At 47.0% G+C, this 18,567-nt stretch overlaps 1 protein-coding gene across 2 annotated transcripts, besides 1 other annotated feature; it reads left to right on the forward strand.

Annotated features, from left to right (window-relative positions):
* Nucleotides 313-15,734, forward strand: CYP4F8 (cytochrome P450 family 4 subfamily F member 8). 2 transcript variants are annotated; one of them, NM_007253.4, is made up of 13 exons: nt 313-375; nt 711-909; nt 3,095-3,239; nt 4,585-4,638; nt 4,730-4,857; nt 7,314-7,435; nt 8,200-8,470; nt 8,794-8,860; nt 9,060-9,189; nt 13,397-13,530; nt 13,626-13,690; nt 13,856-13,938; nt 14,288-15,734. In NM_007253.4, the coding sequence occupies exons 2-13, from the start codon at nt 712-714 to the stop codon at nt 14,451-14,453; spliced, it is 1,563 nt and encodes a 520-aa protein (NP_009184.1). In that variant the 5' UTR covers nt 313-375; nt 711; the 3' UTR covers nt 14,454-15,734. The 2 variants fall into 2 exon arrangements, with proteins under 2 accessions (NP_009184.1, XP_024307109.1); XM_024451341.2 differs by lacking the exons at nt 13,626-13,690; nt 14,288-15,734 and having other exon boundaries at nt 13,856-13,927.
* Nucleotides 14,661-14,710: a silencer, noted in NCBI's record as "silent region_10286". NCBI's record gives its function as "represses an Ori minimal core promoter by ATAC-STARR-seq in GM12878 lymphoblastoid cells {active_cell/tissue: GM12878}" and the evidence as "EXISTENCE:reporter gene assay evidence [ECO:0000049][PMID:35858748]".

Here is an 18,567-nt window from a genome sequence, read left to right on the forward strand (position 1 = left end):
CTCACCTGGCATCTGAACACTTCATTCCTTTACCTACCTTCCCCTGGTCTTGGAAAGGCAGGGTGGCTGCACATTTTGGGGCTCAGATCACCATTGGCTGCCCTCCAACTTACCCTCTGCCTTACATGAGAGGTACCAAGGACTGAGTGGCCATGCTCGGTCACCCTGAATTGGTTCTTCTACAGTTATGGTCCCCACCAGTCCCCGGGTTTTGGTTGGCTGCCCTGGCACAAAGGAGGCATCCAGGCTGTGAGGATTGGCTAGTCCAGCCCCGCCCAGCCTCCTGAAGTGTTTCCTAGATCTGGGGCCAGGAGCAAAAACCTCCTGGCAAAGGAGGAGAGGAGGTTGTGCGGGACAACCTTCTCCTGACAGAAGGTGCCAGGCTGGGGGTGGCAGGGCTGGATAGGGAGGGGCACTGCCCAAGACTGGGATGGCTCCAGGGAGCTGGCCCTGGTGATGGGTGCTTGCAGGTAACCAGAGGTCAAGTTGGCTGGTGGTTCTAGATGAGGCTGTCTGGTTTCTGGTCTCTAGTTTCCTTGATCTCTAATTTTGTGTCACTTCTCCTCTCCCCTCTCCCTTGGCCTCTTCCCCTGAGATTCCCTGAATCTCCCTCCATGCTCTTAACCATGTTTACCCATCATTGGTCCTGGAGCTCCCCAGCCCCTTTCCTAGGCCTCAGGACCTCACCCTCCATCCCGTCTGCCCTGCAGGATGTCGCTGCTGAGCCTGTCTTGGCTGGGCCTCAGGCCGGTGGCAGCATCCCCGTGGCTGCTCCTGCTGGTGGTCGGGGCCTCCTGGCTCCTGGCCCGCATCCTGGCCTGGACCTATGCCTTCTATCACAACGGCCGCCGCCTCCGGTGTTTCCCGCAGCCCCGGAAACAGAACTGGTTCTTGGGTCACCTGGGCCTGGTGAGTGGCAGGAGGATGGATCTAGTGTCTCAGGGTGGAAGGGTGGAAATGGGGCTCAGGCTGAGGGGGTGGGCTCGGGTCTGGGACGGCAGAGAAACTCACTCATTCCTCTGATCACTCACTCATTCCTCTTCCCACTCATTCCTCTCCTCACTCACTCATTCCTCTCCTCACTCACTCATTCTCCTCACTCACTCATTCCTCTCCTCACTCACTCATTCCTCTGCGCACTCACTCATTCCTCTCCTCACTCACTCATTCCTCTCCTCATTCACTCATTCTCCTCACTCATTCCTCTCCTCACTCACTCATTCCTCTCCTCACTCACTCATTCTCCTCACTCACTCATTCCTCTTCCCACTCACTCATTCCTCTCCTCACTCACTCATTCCTCTCCTCACTCACTCATTCCTCTCCTCACCCACTCATTCCTCTCCTCGCTCACTCATTCCTCTCCTCGCTCACTCATTCCTCTCCTCGCTCACTCATTCCTCTCCTTGCTCACTCATTCCTCTGCTTTGCCATGCCAAGCCTTTCTCATCTCCTTGTCTAGGGGAAGTCACCCCTAGACTGTTTTGAATTCTTTTCCTGACTGTTTTCAGTACACTAGTGAACCTCTGATGGGTTCCTGTGGCAGAGTGGGGGTTACGCAGCAGGTATTCACCATTATTTCCACATTATCCACTGCTGTACTGGAGGCCTCTTGGGCTCACTGTCTAGAACCCACTTTCTGCCTGGCCCATTTGCTTGTGTCCATCCATCTCTGGGCTGGAGTTTTCCCATAGGAAGTAGCTATACACCCCCTACCCTCACATCATGACACAGCTGGGCCAGAAGAGAGATGTGTGCCATCTCCACCCTCCCCCGTGCAGGGGCATCTTCTTTATCCCCACTAAGCTGTCCCAATGAGTTGTGTTGCCCAACCTGGATAAAAATTGGCCAGTGACTTCCTCTTTAAAGTTACCTTTGACCCTTCAGACCCTGCCCTTTCACTTAGACCTGCTGTCCCCTTTGGGCGATTTGGCATCAGTCTGTTCTTTGGCAAATGGCAGGAATGATGGGTGTGTCCACAGGTGCAGGGTGAGGGAACACAGGACGGACTAGCTCTGAGCTTGATGTGCAAAAGGTGCTCCCTGGTGAGAGCCGCTGTTCTTCCTGACAGACAGTTAGAGCCACCTCTTCTCCCCTGGGGGCTGCTGAGAAAGGAAGTTCCACCGTGTACAGACCTTCTCCATGGGAGGGCCTGGGGCCCCTGAGGCCCAGCCAGGACATAAAAGGATGTGGGGACCAGCCCTGGGGACATGTCCTGAGGCCACATTGCTGCCCACACACCACACTTGTGGAGCCCACCCCACGTGACTTTCCGTGGGCTGGAGCCACTCCCAGGATGAGAAAATCCATCCTCTTTATTCAAGGTGGGCTTCTCCATGAACAGACAGTTTGTCTTCCCCCTGTTCCCTGGGATGTAGCCTTGGAAGTTAGATACTGCCCCCAAGAGAAGGGAGCAGGAGGGAGTGGAGATTACCCCTATGTGCGCAGAATCTGGACATGCTGTTCATTGCAGAGGCTGTGCCACCTCTAAAGCCTGCAGTGGGACCTGCTGTGGCTCCTCCTGGGAAATGTATTTATTTCTCCAGAGTAATAGAATTAATAGGATATCAATATCTACATCTATCTATCTATCTATCTATCTATCTATCTATCTATCTATCTATCTATCAGTCCGTCTGTCTGTCTATGATCTATCTAATCTATGGAGAGACAGAAGAGGGCATTTATTATAGGAATTGACTCATGTTTATGGAAGCTGAAAAGTCCCACTCTATGCCTTCTGCAAGCTGGAGAATCAGGGACACTGGTGGTGCAATTCCGTCTGGGTCCAAAGCCCTGGGAACCTGGAGTTCTAATGTTCAAGGGCAGGAGAAGATGGATGTCTCAGCTGCAGAGGAGAAAACAAATTCACCCTTCCTCCACTTTTACATTCTACGTGGACCCTCAACAGATTGGATGATGCCCACACAGACTGGGAAGGGGAGATCCTCCTTCCTCAGTTTTCCTTCAAATGCTAATCTCTCCTGAAACACTCTCACAGACATACCCAGAAATAATGTTTGACTGGATATCTGGGCATCCCTTAACCCAGTCAAGTGGACACAGGAGGTGATGGCCCTTGCCTTGCTTGCAGGTCACTCCCACAGAGGAGGGCTTGAGGGTCCTGACCCAGCTGGTGGCCACCTACCCCCAGGGCTTTGTGAGGTGGTTGGGCCCCATCACTCCCATCATCAACTTGTGCCACCCTGACATCGTCCGATCTGTCATCAATACCTCAGGTACTCCTGCAGAGCTTGTGGTGGTGGGCACAGGAGAACATTGGAGGGCTTCTAGATCTCATCCCCAAAGCTTCTGTGCAGCTCTTGTAGTACTCAGCCCCTTCCTTCCTGCTTCTCTCTCAGCCACCTTCCTCTTTCCTTCCTGTAGTCACCAACCCCAACCTCAGTGTCTTTTCTCTCTGCTGCCATCTTCCCCACCTCCGTGTTGTTCTGGGAACCACTGGGGCCCCGAGAAGCCTTAATCCAAGGCCCTGTCCTGGAGGAATCCCCAAACTTGAAGAGATGGAGCAGTACAGAGACATCCCCAACTTCATGGGGTTCAGAATGGGCCAGGAGGAGATAGGCTGTGACAGAGCATAGGAGAACAAGGTTTCTACTGGGGCAGGCTGGAAGGCTTCCTGGAGGAGGCGTAGCAGGAGCTGGGTGTGGAACGATGAGTGATAATTTTTTTTTTAAAGCAGGGGCAGGGTGATGCAGTGGGCATTGTTAGTATTCAAGGCTCCGGGCCAGGCTTGGCATTGGCCTTGTCCTTCTGCAGGCCCAGAGCAAGGACAAGAAGATGAGAAGGAGTTGTGGTTGGTGGAAGATCTAGGCTGCTATTTCCATGACATTCACCTCTTGTGGGTCGATTCCTTCTAATCCCATCCTGTGGCACTTCCACCATATGTTCATTGCCCTCTTGCTCCAGGCCCCAGGAATCTCCAATAGGAGACACCACCCCAGCCTGGAGCCGTACCCTTGCCCTCTGCCCTTCCCATCTTTGGACAGGCCAGGGAGAGCAGCAGAAGGGGTATCACGCCACAGAGACCATGGCTCAAGCCCCAAAATGCTGAGTGACTCTGGGCAGGTCCACGGCTCTCTATGGGTGCTGAGGTGTCTTTCCATTGTGAGTGGTAGAAACTCAACCCCACGCAGTCTAAGCCATTAAAGAGAAGCTATTGACTGCAACATCCAGGGAGGTTGGCCTTCAGGCACAACTGGATCCAGGTCTCACCTAATATCATCAGAATTCTGTCTTTAACTCTTATTCTGTAAATGTGTTTTGTAGAGTGTTGACTTATGCTTGGGTGTTGCAGAACATGTTGGACCATGTAGGAGCCATGTCAAGACATGCTGGGTGTGCTGTACCATGTCAGGGTGTATCATTGCTCTATAGTGTTGTTGCAGCCTAGTCCGGTCCCCTTTATGCCCCCCACCCTCCTTTCTTCTTCTGCCCATGGCCTCCTTCCTGCTATGCTGGGCTTGGAGAAAAGACGTCCAAACCTCTGGCTGGGAGCCACCCTCCATACCCAAAGTCCCTCCTCTATTCCTCTCCATGGACCCTGATGGTCCTCATTCATGTCAGATGCCATTACAGACAAGGACATAGTCTTCTACAAGACCCTGAAGCCCTGGCTGGGTAAGTAACTGTAGGTGGACGGGACGGGGACCAACTTTTGTGGCCAGGGGAAGATTCTGCCCTTGCCCACAGCCTTTGGCTGCCGTACTAGGGGATGGGCTCTTGTTAAGTGTTGGTGACAAGTGGAGACACCACCGTCGCTTGCTGACGCCTGCCTTCCATTTCAACATCCTGAAGCCCTATATAAAGATTTTCAGCAAGAGTGCAAACATCATGCATGTGAGTGCCTTGAACTCAGCATCCCAGCTGCAGCCTTGGGGTGGAGGGATCACATACAATTGGGTCTGGAATGTTGGCTCTCCTGGGTGGGTTTGGGGCCATTGCTCTTCCTCTCTGTGCCTTGATTTCCCCATGAGGCTAATAATCCTCACTAAAAGGTGGTAGGAGCATGTAATGGACTCATGTCTCTGACACTTAGTAGGTGGTCAGAAGGAGTCAATTTCCACATTTTTCTCACAGAAGCCCTGTAAACTCAAGAAAGGAATGATGACACGTGCATAGTAGTCATTGCTGAGTACAGATCACTTCAAAACTAATTGGTTTAGAGCAATAAGGGTTTATATTTGCTAACAAATCTGTGGGACTGTTGGCCAGCCCTTCTGCATGTGGATAGGATCCCTCATGGTATAAGAGCAGCTGTGGGTCAGGTAGGCAGCTTTGCTTGTGCCAGCTCAGTTCTCTCACATATTTGGAGCTTTGCTGGCTTCTGGCTGATTTAGGATGGCCTCAGCTGGGACACCTGGACTTTTCTCCATGTGATTCTCTGCCTCTAGATGACACCCCAGGATTGCTCACATGGCAGAGACAGGATTCCAAGGCAGTGAGAGGAGGATACAATGCTTCTCACTAGTTATTATTATTTATTTTATTTTTGAGATGAAGTCTCGCTTTGTCTCCCAGGCTGGAGTGCAGTGGTGCGATCTTGGCTCTCTGCAACCCCCGCCTCAAGCAATTCTCCTGTCTTAGCCTCGTGGGTAGATGGAATTACAGGCGCCCACCACCATGCCCAACTAATTTTTTGTATCTTCAGTAGAGACAGGGTTTCACCATGTTGGGCAGGCTGGTCTTGAACTCCTGACGTCAAGTGATCTGCCCTCCTCGGCCTCACAAAATGCTGGAATTACAGGCATGGGCTGCTGCACCCAGTCAACTTCTCACTAGTTATGGCCTTATCATTTTCACCACATTCTATTGGCCAAAAAAAGTAAAACGTCCACCATGAATCAATGTGGGGCAAAATAGGCTCCATCTCTTAATGGAAGTTGCTAAAAAATCACATTGCAAAAGATGTGGATGCAGGGAGAAGAGAAGAAATGGAGCCAAGCGTTTTGTGAAACGACTAGGATTTTTTTTTCTCCTGTGAGCTAATAAATTAGCTTGTTACTTTTGCATGGATTCTGCCAGAAGACACGAGACTTCTGGGTCAAAGACAAAAGTTTATTACTCATGTCTCAGCAAGTGGCATGTGCATCTTGTTGGTTTGGATCCTTTCTCTAAGCCACCCAAATTCCCTGGGGTGATAAGGTGGGCTTCTATAGATGCCTGCCATGTAGTATATTTGCATGATGGGGAGGAGCATTAGGCTTAGAGAATCAGCTTTTAGAGCAAGCAGAATAAGCCTAACGTGTGTCCCAGAGGAGCCATTACCTTATACCCCAAGGCTGTTCTCTGCAAACACAATGCTGAGAAATAGCCCAGATTAAGAACCTCAGGGTTGACCGGGTGTGGTGGCTCATGCTTGTAATCCCAGCACATTGGTATCACTTGAGGTCAGGAGTTCGAGACCAGCCTGGCCAACATGGCAAAACCCTGTCTCTACTAAAAATACAAAAATTAGCAGGGCGTGGTGGTGCGTGCCTGTAACCCCAGCTACTCAGGAGGCTGAGACAGGAGAATTGCTTGAACCCAGCAGGCAGAGGTTGCAGTGAGCCAAGACTGTGCCACTGCACTCCAGCCTGGGCAACAGAACGAGACTCCATCTCAAAAACTAGCAAACAAACAAAACAAACAAACAACAACAACAACAAAACTTCAGAGTTTTGCATTCTTGGCATGCTCAGAAAAAAATGTTCAGGGGGATCACAGGGACTTTTTGTAATCAATTTATAACAATGAAGATGAATCAAGATAATATTTATTGAGAACTCATCATATGACAGAAATGATGTAATATGCCTATTCCATGGTGTATGTGGTCTCATTTAATTTACACCGCCTTGTGAAGTAGAGGATATTTTCCACCCTCTCCCCCATGCCATGACAAATGGTGAAACTGAGGGCCAGAGAGGTTAGAGAGATTTCCCAAGTTCACCCAGCTTGTCAGTGAGTCTAAGAGTGGGGGAAAAGGGGTTCTAGCCTGGCTCCCTGGCATCAAAGCAGGTCATCTTGATTGCTATTGAGGATTTGACAGGTGAGACCTAGAGGAGGGCTGTGAGTTGACCAAGGGTACACACAGCTTAGGAATCACAGCTGGGGCTTGAACCCAGCCATGGGATCTTCATCTCCTAATAGTAACAGCTTCCACTCTCACCCAAGCGTAGTCCTCCCTGAGGATGGGGGTCTGGGACAGAAAACCAGGAGCATGCCTCTGGGGGAGTCCATCCTGGTGGTTGGGGTTGCAGGGGGACTCAGAGGAGCCAAGGCCTGGCCCCAGCCCTGCTCCCTTCTCTGGCCAGGCCAAGTGGCAACGCCTGGCCATGGAGGGCAGCACCTGTCTGGATGTGTTTGAGCACATCAGCCTTATGACCCTGGACAGTCTGCAGAAATGCATCTTCAGCTTTGACAGCAATTGTCAGGAGTGAGTTCTTGCCCAGGGCCTGGGAACATGGGATGGAGTGGGGGTGTGGGTGTGGGGAGAGCAAAGCCCAGGGAGACAAGAAGAGCCTTCCTGGAGAGATGATGAGAACTAGGCATTGAAGGACAAAGAAGGAGAGAAGGAGAGAGAGAGAGAGCGAGAGAAAGAGAAGTTTCCTCCAAACAAGTGGAACTGTTTGGGTCAAGGCAAGGAGGCTAAGATGAACAGAGCATGTGCAACAGGCAGTTGGGAGACACTTGGAAATGAAGGTGGAGGGGTTGGCAGTTAACTAGATCTTAAGGATCTTGAAAAGTCAGACAAAGGGAGATGCATTTTATCCAAGGTTCCTAAGGAGCCATGGAGGTGTTTGAGCAGATGAGAGACATGGTCAGTACTGAGCTTGGACACTGGACTCTATGGGACTCTATGGAAGATTGACTGTCATGTAGACACAGCATGCAAGGATGCCAGGGAGAGGAGGTCTGAGTTTGGTGGAGAAAATGGGGCAGATTTGGGAGAAACTGAGTAATAATAGGCAGGAGCAGATGTTTTATAAGACAGAGAGAGGAGATGCCCATGATGGCCAAGCTGTGCCCTGGGGACCTGGGGCAGGAGGCAGCTCACAGAGAGTGGGAGGCAGAGAGTGAAGTGCGCTTGCAGGACACCCCTTTCTGCATGGAATGTGGTCCTGGGATTCTGGCTGGAAGGTGCTCCCAGGCTTTCATGTGGGTAAGGAGCTGCTTCCTCTCTCTGGACTGGCCCTGCAGGAAGCCCAGTGAATATATTACTGCGATCATGGAGCTCAGTGCCCTTGTAGTGAAACGGAATAACCAGTTCTTCCGGTACAAGGACTTCCTGTACTTCCTCACTCCCTGTGGACGGCGCTTCCACAGGGCCTGCAGACTGGTGCACGACTTCACAGATGCCGTCATCCAGGAGCGGCGCCGCACCCTCACTAGCCAGGGTGTTGATGACTTCCTCCAAGCCAAGGCCAAGTCCAAGACTTTGGACTTTATTGATGTGCTCCTGCTGAGCGAGGTGGGCCTCTCTGGGATCTGAATTCAAGAGGTAAAATGGAGCTTCAGGTCAAATGTCAGATTGAAGGACCGGACTTGATACAGAGGGCACTAAGGAGCCATGGAAGGTGCTCGAAGAAGGGAGGGACAAGTCAGATAAATTTTAGAGGTGATTGCATAGAAAGCTTCCTGGGAAGAACAAACAGGAGGTCGGAAGGAAGCATGTGGGGGTAGATCTGGAGGTGACAAGGGAGGGATCCTTCTGGGATAATGGGTCTTCAGAGACTGTTTCAGTTTAGACTCCAGTGACCCCAGAACTAGTGTGATTGGGGTTCTTGTCTCCAGGATAAAAATGGTAAAGAGTTGTCAGATGAGGACATAAGAGCAGAAGCTGACACTTTCATGTTTGGAGGTGAGTGTCCCAGTCTGGGGCTACAGTGGGGACAGGGGTCTCTCCACTCCAGGGAAGTGGAGGGCCGGCCCTGAATCACTTCATTCTGCCCAACCTCCCCCTCCCCTCAACCTTCCTGAGAGCCTCAATGTATGGGCGCTGTCCACCCTCTGGGTGCTGAAGCAGCCCAGAGACTCAAGCCTGCCTGGCTGACCCTCAGGCCATGACACCACGGCCAGTGGCCTCTCCTGGGTCTTGTACAACCTCGCGAGGCACCCAGAATACCAAGAACGCTGCCGGCAGGAGGTGCAAGAGCTTCTGAAGGACCGTGAGCCTAAAGAGATTGAATGGTGAGTGCAGGTGCTGGTGGCTCTGCCTTTCTGCCTTTCTGAGTCCTTCTCGTTGGTTCTTCTCCCCAGGTGGGGGAAAAGGGGAGGATCTTTTTGATGATTCTGCCATTGTTGCCTAGTGGGAATAGGAGTAGAGCCCAGAAACAGGCTAGCAAGGGTAACATTGCATGCTTTGGGGACAGAATGGTCTGGGAGTCCATATTTATTTCCCCACTAACTTGCTATGCAAGCTTAGTAAAATCAATTCCCTTTTCTGAACAACTTTTCTCCTTTGTAAATTGGGGGTGTGGGGAATTGCTGTCCCACAGGGCTGCTTGGAGAATTAACGGCAAATACCGCAATGACTTTTGGACCAATCTAATATTATGATTTATCAAAACATTCTCTTATCAACGCGTGTTTTTATACTTTCCAGCCTTTTGGTATAAAAGACATGATGTGTTGAATATCGGTGTACGATGATCATTGCTGACATGTCATCTTTGTAGAGCAGATTCCTAGAAGTGCAACTGCTGAGCCAAAGACCATTTGAGTTTTACAATTCAATAGCTCTTGGGAAATCTACTGCTATACACAGATTTTGAGAATACCAAATTTCCTCATAACCTCCCCAGAAGTGCCTATTATGAAACTAAAACATTTGCCAATCTGATAGATGCAATATAATATTTTGTTATTTTAATGAACATAACTTTAAATGTGGGTAAAGTTGAGCACTGTTTTCACCTGCCGATGAGCCATCCATATCTATTTTTCTGTGAAGTCAGTTTTTGCGTAATTTGTTTTTTCTACTTTGGGTCGTACTAGTTTTCTTATTTACTTATAAAAACTCTTTACATATTAAGAAAATTATTTCTTTTTTCTGTTATGCAAAATGTTGCCTCGCATTGTCTTGGACTTTATTTTTATTTTTGGTTCATTTATTTGTCACCAAATTTATTAATTTTTTCTTTTATAATTCCTGTTTGTGTTTCTTAAAAAAATATTTAAAAACCATTTTATACTCTAATAGTAAAATGCAAAACTCTTGTTTGACTTATTTTAATAGGCTTATATATTTTTAAAAGTTTAACATTTTATCAATATTTTTCACATTTAGAAATTTTTCCCTTTGAAATCTATGTTGGAATCTATTTTTTCTCCAAATGTCTAATTGTCCCAACCAAGTTTAATGAATATTTTGTCCTTGTGTCATGATTCTAAATAACAACAAATTCACAAGAAACTATGTGTGTGTATATATATATATATAGTGTATATATATAGTGTATATATATATAGTGTTTGTGTATATATATATACACACACACATACTATATATAGTGTATACACTATATATATATGTATTTTAAGGCAACAAATAAAACCATATATATATATGCCTATCTTAGGCATGTATGTATATATATGGTTTTATTTGTTGCCTTCATTTTGTTCCATTTATTATGTAGTCCTACATGAGCAGCATGAAGTCTACTTTTAAAAACACTTTAATATTTGGTAGAGTTTGTTCTGTCTCATTACTTTGTGTTTACAGTTTTTTTTCCCTCGAGTTCCTATTTTTTTCCATTTGAACTCTGTGATCAGGTTAGCCAGTTTGACAAATACTTTTGAAAATGTTAATTAATAAATTTTTTGGACCTTAGGTGCTAATGTTTGAGTTAACGATGCTCTTCAATTCATGGCAAATTCTCGTCATTTTTCTATACAATACGTATTTCTTCCCATTTATCTCAAATCTCTCCTTCCAGCTCTCCATCAGTATGATTACAAAATGGTGGATACTTTTATCTGTAAAACTTGTTGTTGGGGTGGATACATTTTAAAATTCTATATATGTTTTTATTTCACAGATGTTGTGCTGGTTCTTACCTTTTCAGAAATATAGCACTATGATTTGTGCTACGTTTGCAGCACCGTGGTTGCATGCTATGATTTGTGCTATATAAATGTAGCACTATGATTTGCAGCACCGTGGTTCTAAGTACATTTATTCTCTTGCTTTTAGCTATGATCTAGTCCTTTTCTCTTCAGTTCTGTAGTGGATACCTGGACTGCTTCTATCTCTCCAGTGCAATGACCATCTTTGTGCATATCTCTTTATCTGCATGTCTGATAATTTCTCTGGGATCTACAGTTGGGAACCAGCTTGCTGGGCTGTAAAACACACATCTTTCCTTGGCCATGTCCTGGAGGTTGCCTTCCATATTGGCAGCTTCTGTGCACCCCACTGTCAGTGCATGTGACCCCTCTACCCACACCTCAGCCAACCCTTGGCAACACCTACCTTTGGCCATTCTAGCCTCGAATAGATGTGAAGTGGTACCTCGTTGTCAGCTAGCTTCCATTTCTATGACAGCTAGTGACTTTGCGCATCTCCTCTTACATTTCTCATGTTTGAGCATCCATGAATTCTTAGATCAAATCCTTTGTCTACTTTTCACTTGGGTTACCTGTTCGTTCTCTTGTAGATTTGCAGGAATTCCTAACATATTCAGATATTGTTCTGGATATCTATCTATCTATCTATCTATCTATCTATCTATCTATCTTAGGCATCTTCTCTGAATCTCTTATCTCTCATTGGAATGTTAATTGGGTCCACTGTATCTTTTACTGCACAGAAATCCTTAATTTGCATGCGTATTTATCCTTTATATTTTATCTTGTTTAAGCTTTTGGGGTTTTAAGAATTCCTACTCTTAAGTCACAAAAATTTCTCCTATGTTATCATCTTTTAACATTATAATTTTACCTTTCTCATAAAGGAAAAGACTCCACCTTGTATATGCAGTAGACAAGAACCTGTTTCTCTCTGTTCCCACATTTCCAGTGGTCTGAACAACTTCCACCACACTATCCATTCTCCAGGGGCGTGTGGACCTTCCTTTAGCAGATGTTAAGTTTCCCCCTATTCACAGGCCTGATTCTGAGCTCTCTACTCTGTTCTATGGATCTGTTTTTCTGTTCTTGCAGCAGTCCCACAGTTTTTTTAAAATTATTTTATTTTTATTAGTATGCATTTGTAATATCTCTTAATATCTGGAAGCTTGGGTTCTCCTTCTTCAATCTTTTATTTAAAAATTGACCTAGCTTGGATAGGGCATGGTGGCTTATGCCTGTAATCCCAGCACTTTGGGAGGCTGAGGCAGGCAGATCACTTGAGGTCAGGAGTTTGAGACCAGCCTGGCCAACATGGTGAAACCCCATCTATACTAAAAATACAAAAATTAGTTGGGTGTGGTGGTGCACACCTGTAATCCCAGCTACTTGGGAGGCTGAGGCACAAGAATCGCTTGAACGCAGGAAGTGGAGGTTGCAGTGAGCTGAGATCAGGCCACTGCACTCCAGCCTGGGTGACAGAGTGAGAATCCATCTCAAAAAAAAAAAAAAAATTGACCTAGCCCTTGATGAACTTTAAAATTCCTTCAATTAGAATAAGATTTCAAAGTTCCAAAAAGAATCCAGCTAGATTTTTATTAATTGCATGAAGTATATTGATTAGTTTAGAAATAATTGACACCTTTACAACATATGGTCATCCCACCCTACAGTGTGGAGTGGAGATTATTTATTCAAATAACTTTATAAGCCCTTTGTAGAGATGTTTTTTTCCTGCTTTTGTTACCTCTTTATATAATTTTAAATACTTTTTCACACAAACAAATGAACACTTTTGTTTTTGAGATGGAGTTGCTCTGCCTCCCAAACTGGAGTGCGGTGGAGTGATCTCGGCTCACTGCAACCTCTGCCTCTCAGGTTCGAGGGATTCTCCTGCCTCAGCCTCCTGAGTAGCTGGGACTACAGGTGCCCACCACCATGCGTGGCTAATTTTTGTGTTTTTAGTAGAGATGGGATTTCACCATGTTGGTCAGGCTGGTGTGGAACTCCTGACCTCAAGTGATCCTCCTGCCTCAGGCTTCCAAAGTGCTGGGATTACAGGAGTGAGCCACTGCACCCCGCCGGAATGAATACTTTTAAGAGACACCCTCTGAATATTGTTTTGCTCAGAAATACCTCTAAAAACACCAGGTCAACTTTTCTTCTAGTAGTTTTGTGACTTTGGTTTTCTAATGCTTACATCTTTGTTGCTTCTGGAATTAATTTTGTTATAGGACTGAGGGTCAGAGGGAGGTGGTGAGAGGGTCTCCAGGGGCAGCAGGAGGGCCGTGTATGCTCTCTGGATAATTGTTGGGTGTTTCCTTAGGGACGACCTGGCCCAGTTGCCCTTCCTGACCATGTGCCTGAAGGAGAGCCTGCGGTTGCATCCCCCAATCCCTACATTCGCCCGCGGCTGCACCCAGGACGTGGTGCTCCCAGACAGCCGAGTCATCCCCAAAGGTGCCCTCCATGGCAGGGGAGGAGGGTCCTGGGCAGGGCGGTGGTCCCAGCAGGCAGCTCGGACCTTGTTCTTACTGTCCTCTCCTGCACGACAGGGAATGTCTGTAACATCAACATCTTCGCAATCCATCACAACCCCTCAGTCTGGCCAGACCCTGAGGTGCTGCCCCTCCCTGTTTCTCCATCCCCCGGGCCTGGTCGGGGGAGGGGTCTTGTCCCGGAAAACCAGATACTCCCTCTCTACTCCACCCACATCTGTTTTATGTGGGGGTGGCTGGGTGTCCTGAGAGGCCCCATCAGCAGCCTTAACTTGCCTCCACCCCAGGTCTATGACCCCTTCCGCTTCGACCCAGAAAACGCCCAGAAGAGGTCACCTATGGCTTTTATTCCTTTCTCGGCGGGGCCCAGGTGAGGCCAGGGGGTGTCTGAGGTGGGCATGGGCTGAGGGTGGCACAGATGGCTGCCTTGTCAGATGCCTGACTTGTAGGACCACGTGTTTCTGTGATAGGGGTTTTAAAGAAGATCCTAGGAAAAAGGGTGTGCTCAGAGCCTCCTGCCCCGTCTGGTTTCAGTTGGGGCTGGGGTCTGGGCTAGGCTCTGGGAATATGCAAGCCCACATGGGGGTCCCAGACCCAGCTTCCCCCCTGTCTGCCCAAGGTGATCTGGGTGGGGTTGGGGGTTCCGGGCCTGGTTCCTGGCGCAGTGGGGCCGGGATCTGGGTCCTGGGTGCAGTCAGACCTTCCACCTTGGCCCCCAGGAACTGCATCGGGCAGAAGTTCGCGATGGCAGAGATGAAGGTGGTCCTGGCGCTCACGCTGCTGCGCTTCCGCATCCTGCCCGACCACAGGGAGCCACGCAGGACGCCGGAGATTGTTTTGCGTGCGGAGGACGGACTTTGGCTGCGAGTAGAACCCCTGGGCTGAGGCCTGCAGTGACCCACCCACCTACCTTTGCATCACCTACCTTTGCACCAACTACCTTTTCAGATTTCCGGTAATAAATCTGTGTTGGCCCCTGTGCCTCAGTCCCGCGGATGGCCAGTAGGGGGCGCTGGAGGACTGCGGGGATCTAGGGCCTGGCTGGGAAGAGGCGGGGAGATGTCTCTGTGCCCAAGATACTCACTGCCTCTCTGGGTGAGCACAGGAGCCCCGTGCTGAGGGTGGGATCTCCCAGAGTCTAAGTAAAGACTTTTTCCCCCCCAAAATAATTGTGTATTCTGATATAAATTTTTGCCAATTTAGAATCCCTGTTTTTTAGCTAGGTGCATAGCAGCCTGAAATACAGATCACATTTGAAAGCCTTTCTTGAAGCTCAATTGGTTAAGTGACTGTGGCTGTCCCATGTGTAGAAGCCAAAGATTATGTGGTAATTCTGGTAACCTTTCTTAAGAGAAAGCTGCTACAGTCTGTCTGCTCAGTCCTCCCCTCTTCCTTCCTGCTGCTTGGAAGATTTTTTTTTTTTTTTGAGACATGGTGTCTCTCGTCGCCCAGGCCGGAGTGCAGTGGCTCACTGCAACCTCCACCTCCTGGGTTCAAGTGATTCTCCTGACTCAGTCGCCTGAGTAGATAGGATAACAGGCGCCTACCACCACACCCGGCTAATTGTATTTTTAGTACAGATGGGGTTTTGCTATGTTGGCCAGGCTGGTCTCAAACTCCTGGCCTCAAGTGATCAGCCCACCTCAGCCTCCCAAAGTGCCAGAATTGCAGGTGTGAGAATAAAAATTCTTGAGTTTCAATGTTTATTTTAGAATCAGGTGCTAACATGCAAATTTATTACAAAGGTATATTGCATCATGCTGAGGTTTGGAGTATGAATGACTCCATCACCCATGTAGTGAGCATAGTATCTAATAGGCAGTTTTTCAGCTTTTCCCCCTCCCTGCTTCCCCTGTCTAGTAGTCCCCAGGATCTGTTGTTCCCATCTTTATTACCATGTGTATCCAATGCATACCTCCCACTTATAAGTGAGAACATGCAATATTTTGTTTTCTGTTCCTGCATTAGTTTGCTTAGGATAATGGCCCCCAGCTGCATCTATGTTGCTGCAAACGACATGATTTTGTACTTTTTAATGACTGCATAGTATTTCATGGTGTATTTCTACACATTTTCTTTATCCACTCCACCATTGATGGGCACCTGTGTTGATTCAGCATCTTCGCTATTGTGATTAGAGCTGCGATAAACATGTGGATGCTTGTGTCTTTTTGGCAGAATGATTTATTTTCTTTTGGGTGTATACCCAGTCGTGGGATTGCTAGGTCAAATGGTAGTTCAACTCTCAATTCTCTGAGAAATATCCTAACTGCTCTCCACACTCCATTAGTTTAGTGGCTGAACTAATTTATATTTCCACCAACAGTGTATAAATGTTCCTTTTTCTCCATAGCCTTGGCAACATCTGCTATTTTTTGACTTTTTAACAAATTGCTTGCAAGATTGATGTGGCCTCTGGAGCTCCATCTTGGCTCATGAGGACAGGGACTGCTATTTAGGGCAGATGGGGCAGATGGCTAGAAGCAGTCAGGGTCTATGACCCTAGATCCATGCTGTGACCTGAATGTTTATGTAGCCCCCAAATCCATACATTGAAGCCTAGTCTGCATATGGTGGTATTAAGAGGGGAGGCCTTTGGGAGGTGATTAAGTTGTGAGGGCTCTGCCTTCGTAAGTGAGATTACCCCTTATAACAGAGACCTGAGGGAGCTTGTTTGCCCCTTCCACCATGTAAAGACACGTGCAAGGTGCCATCTATGAGGAACAGGCCCTTAGTTGACACTGAACCTGCAGGCACCTTGATCTTGGACTTCCCAGCCTCCAAAATTGTAAGCAATAAATACCTGTTGTTTATAAACTACCTAGTGTAAGTTATGTTGTCATAGCAGCCTGAATGGGCTAAGATAATCCATATCCCCTTGGAATTGTACTAAACATCACCTTGAAGTTGTATTATAAATGTCAGAATCCCAGTCTGCTATTCACTAGCTGATTGGCTTGGGGAAAACTTGTTTATCTCTGTAGCCCTGGTTTTGTTTACCACTTAATAGTATTCACCTCATTGGGCTGCTGGAAGACTGAACAAGCCAGTATCTACAACATCCCTGAGCCACATCTGTTGGGTATTAGCGGTCCATGAGGGTTAATTGCCTCTCTTTCTCTTCTTTTTGCATCACATTTGAAGTTTTGACATTTTAAAAAATCGCAAGAGGTTGCTTCAAGCTTTGGGATGCATGGCAACCTTCTCTTGAGGAAAATTCATTCGAATGTTTTGTGTGCTCAAAATATCCGTTATTACATCCGAGAATCTACAGTGGACTTTGGTGAAAGGTTGGCCCAAAGCTTAGAACGGAAAAAATTAATTTTTCCAGAGAGGCACGACTCAGAATTTATTCCTGTCTAAAAAGTTCAGGTCATGAAGGTTTTCAAGTGAGAGGAAGGTAGAGGGTGTGGGCTGGGCGGGGGGCGGGCGGGGGGGGGGAGGGGCCGCCCCTTTCAGCACCAGGGACAGCGGCTGCACCTGGACTTTCCCCTGTCTGACTGTAGGGGGCTCCTGCGGGGCGCAGAGTCCAAGGACTGAGCGCTTTTCAGGGGCCCATAGATTGGGAACCTGGAAGGATTATTGGCTGCAAAATAAGAATGGAACATTGCAAAACGAAATAAATAACTATTTAATATATTCTATGCTGAAAGTCAATTTTTCTTCCCTTTAAAGTTTAAGTTTCATAAATAATGCATGCTTATAGAAGAAATTGCAAGAAATAAAAATCATCCATAATTTCAAAATGTCAGAATAATCACTGTTTATATTTTCTTGCATATGCTTCCAGTTTTTAATTCATATGTGATCTTTTTACATATGAAAATGTTTATTTACATCTATATAGCTGTGTCATATCACATTTGCATGTAATTTTGTTTACAAGTGCTATTTTCCTGCCAAATGAGCACATGAAAAGATGCTAAACATTATTCCCATTATGCAAACCAAAAGCACAACGTGATGTCACCTCAACACCTACAGGATGGCTAGCATCTAAAAAAGGGAATATAACAAATGTTGGAGAGGATATGGAGTAATCGAAGCCCTCATCCATTCCTGGTGTGACTGTAAAAATGGTGCAGCTGCTGTGGAAAACAGTCTGGAGATTCTGAAAAACTAAAACATAGAATTACTATATGATGCAATTCCACGATATCATATTAAGCTCCTAGCTATATACTCAAAAGAATAGAAAACAGTTGTTCAAACAAAAAAGCTTGTACATTCGTGCTTATAGCAGCCCTATTCACAATTGCCAAAAGGTAGAAAGAACTCAAATATCCATTAACAGATGGATGGATAAAGAAAATGTGATCTATTCGTATAATGAAATATTACTCAGCCATTAAAAGGAATGAAGTACTGATACATACTACCACCTGGATGAACCTTGAATACATTATAGTATGTGAAAGAAGTCAGACACAAAAGGTCACATAGTGTATGATTTATTTATAAGAAATGTCCATCTGGGTGTGGTGGCTCATGCCTGTAATCCCAGCACTTTGGGAGGCCCAGGCAGGCAGATCACTTGAGGTCAGGAGTTCAAGAGCAGCCTGGCCAACAGGGTGAAACCCCGTCGCTACTAAAAATACAAGAAAAATTAGCTGGGCGTCATGGGATATGCCTGTAATCCAAGTTACTTGGGAGGCTGAGGCAGGAGAATCACTTGAACCCAGGAAGTGGAGGTTGTGGTGAGCTGAGATCATGCCATCACGCCACTGCACTCCAGTCTGGGCAACAGAGTGAGACTCTGTCTCAAAAAAAAAAATGTCCAGAATAGGCAAATCTATAGAGACAGAAAGGAGATTGGTGGTGTCAGGAGCTGTGGGGAAGTGGGAAGAGGAAGTGCTAATGGGGTCAGGATTTCCTGCTGGGTGGTGAAGATGTTCTGGACCTAGATAGTGGTGAAGTTTCCACAACACTGTGCATATACCAAATGCTACTAAATTGTACCCTTTAAAATGGTGAATTTTATGTTTTGTGAATTTTACCC

Source organism: Homo sapiens, chromosome 19 (genome assembly GCF_000001405.40).
Source record: "Homo sapiens chromosome 19, GRCh38.p14 Primary Assembly".
Lineage (NCBI taxonomy): Eukaryota > Metazoa > Chordata > Mammalia > Primates > Hominidae > Homo > Homo sapiens.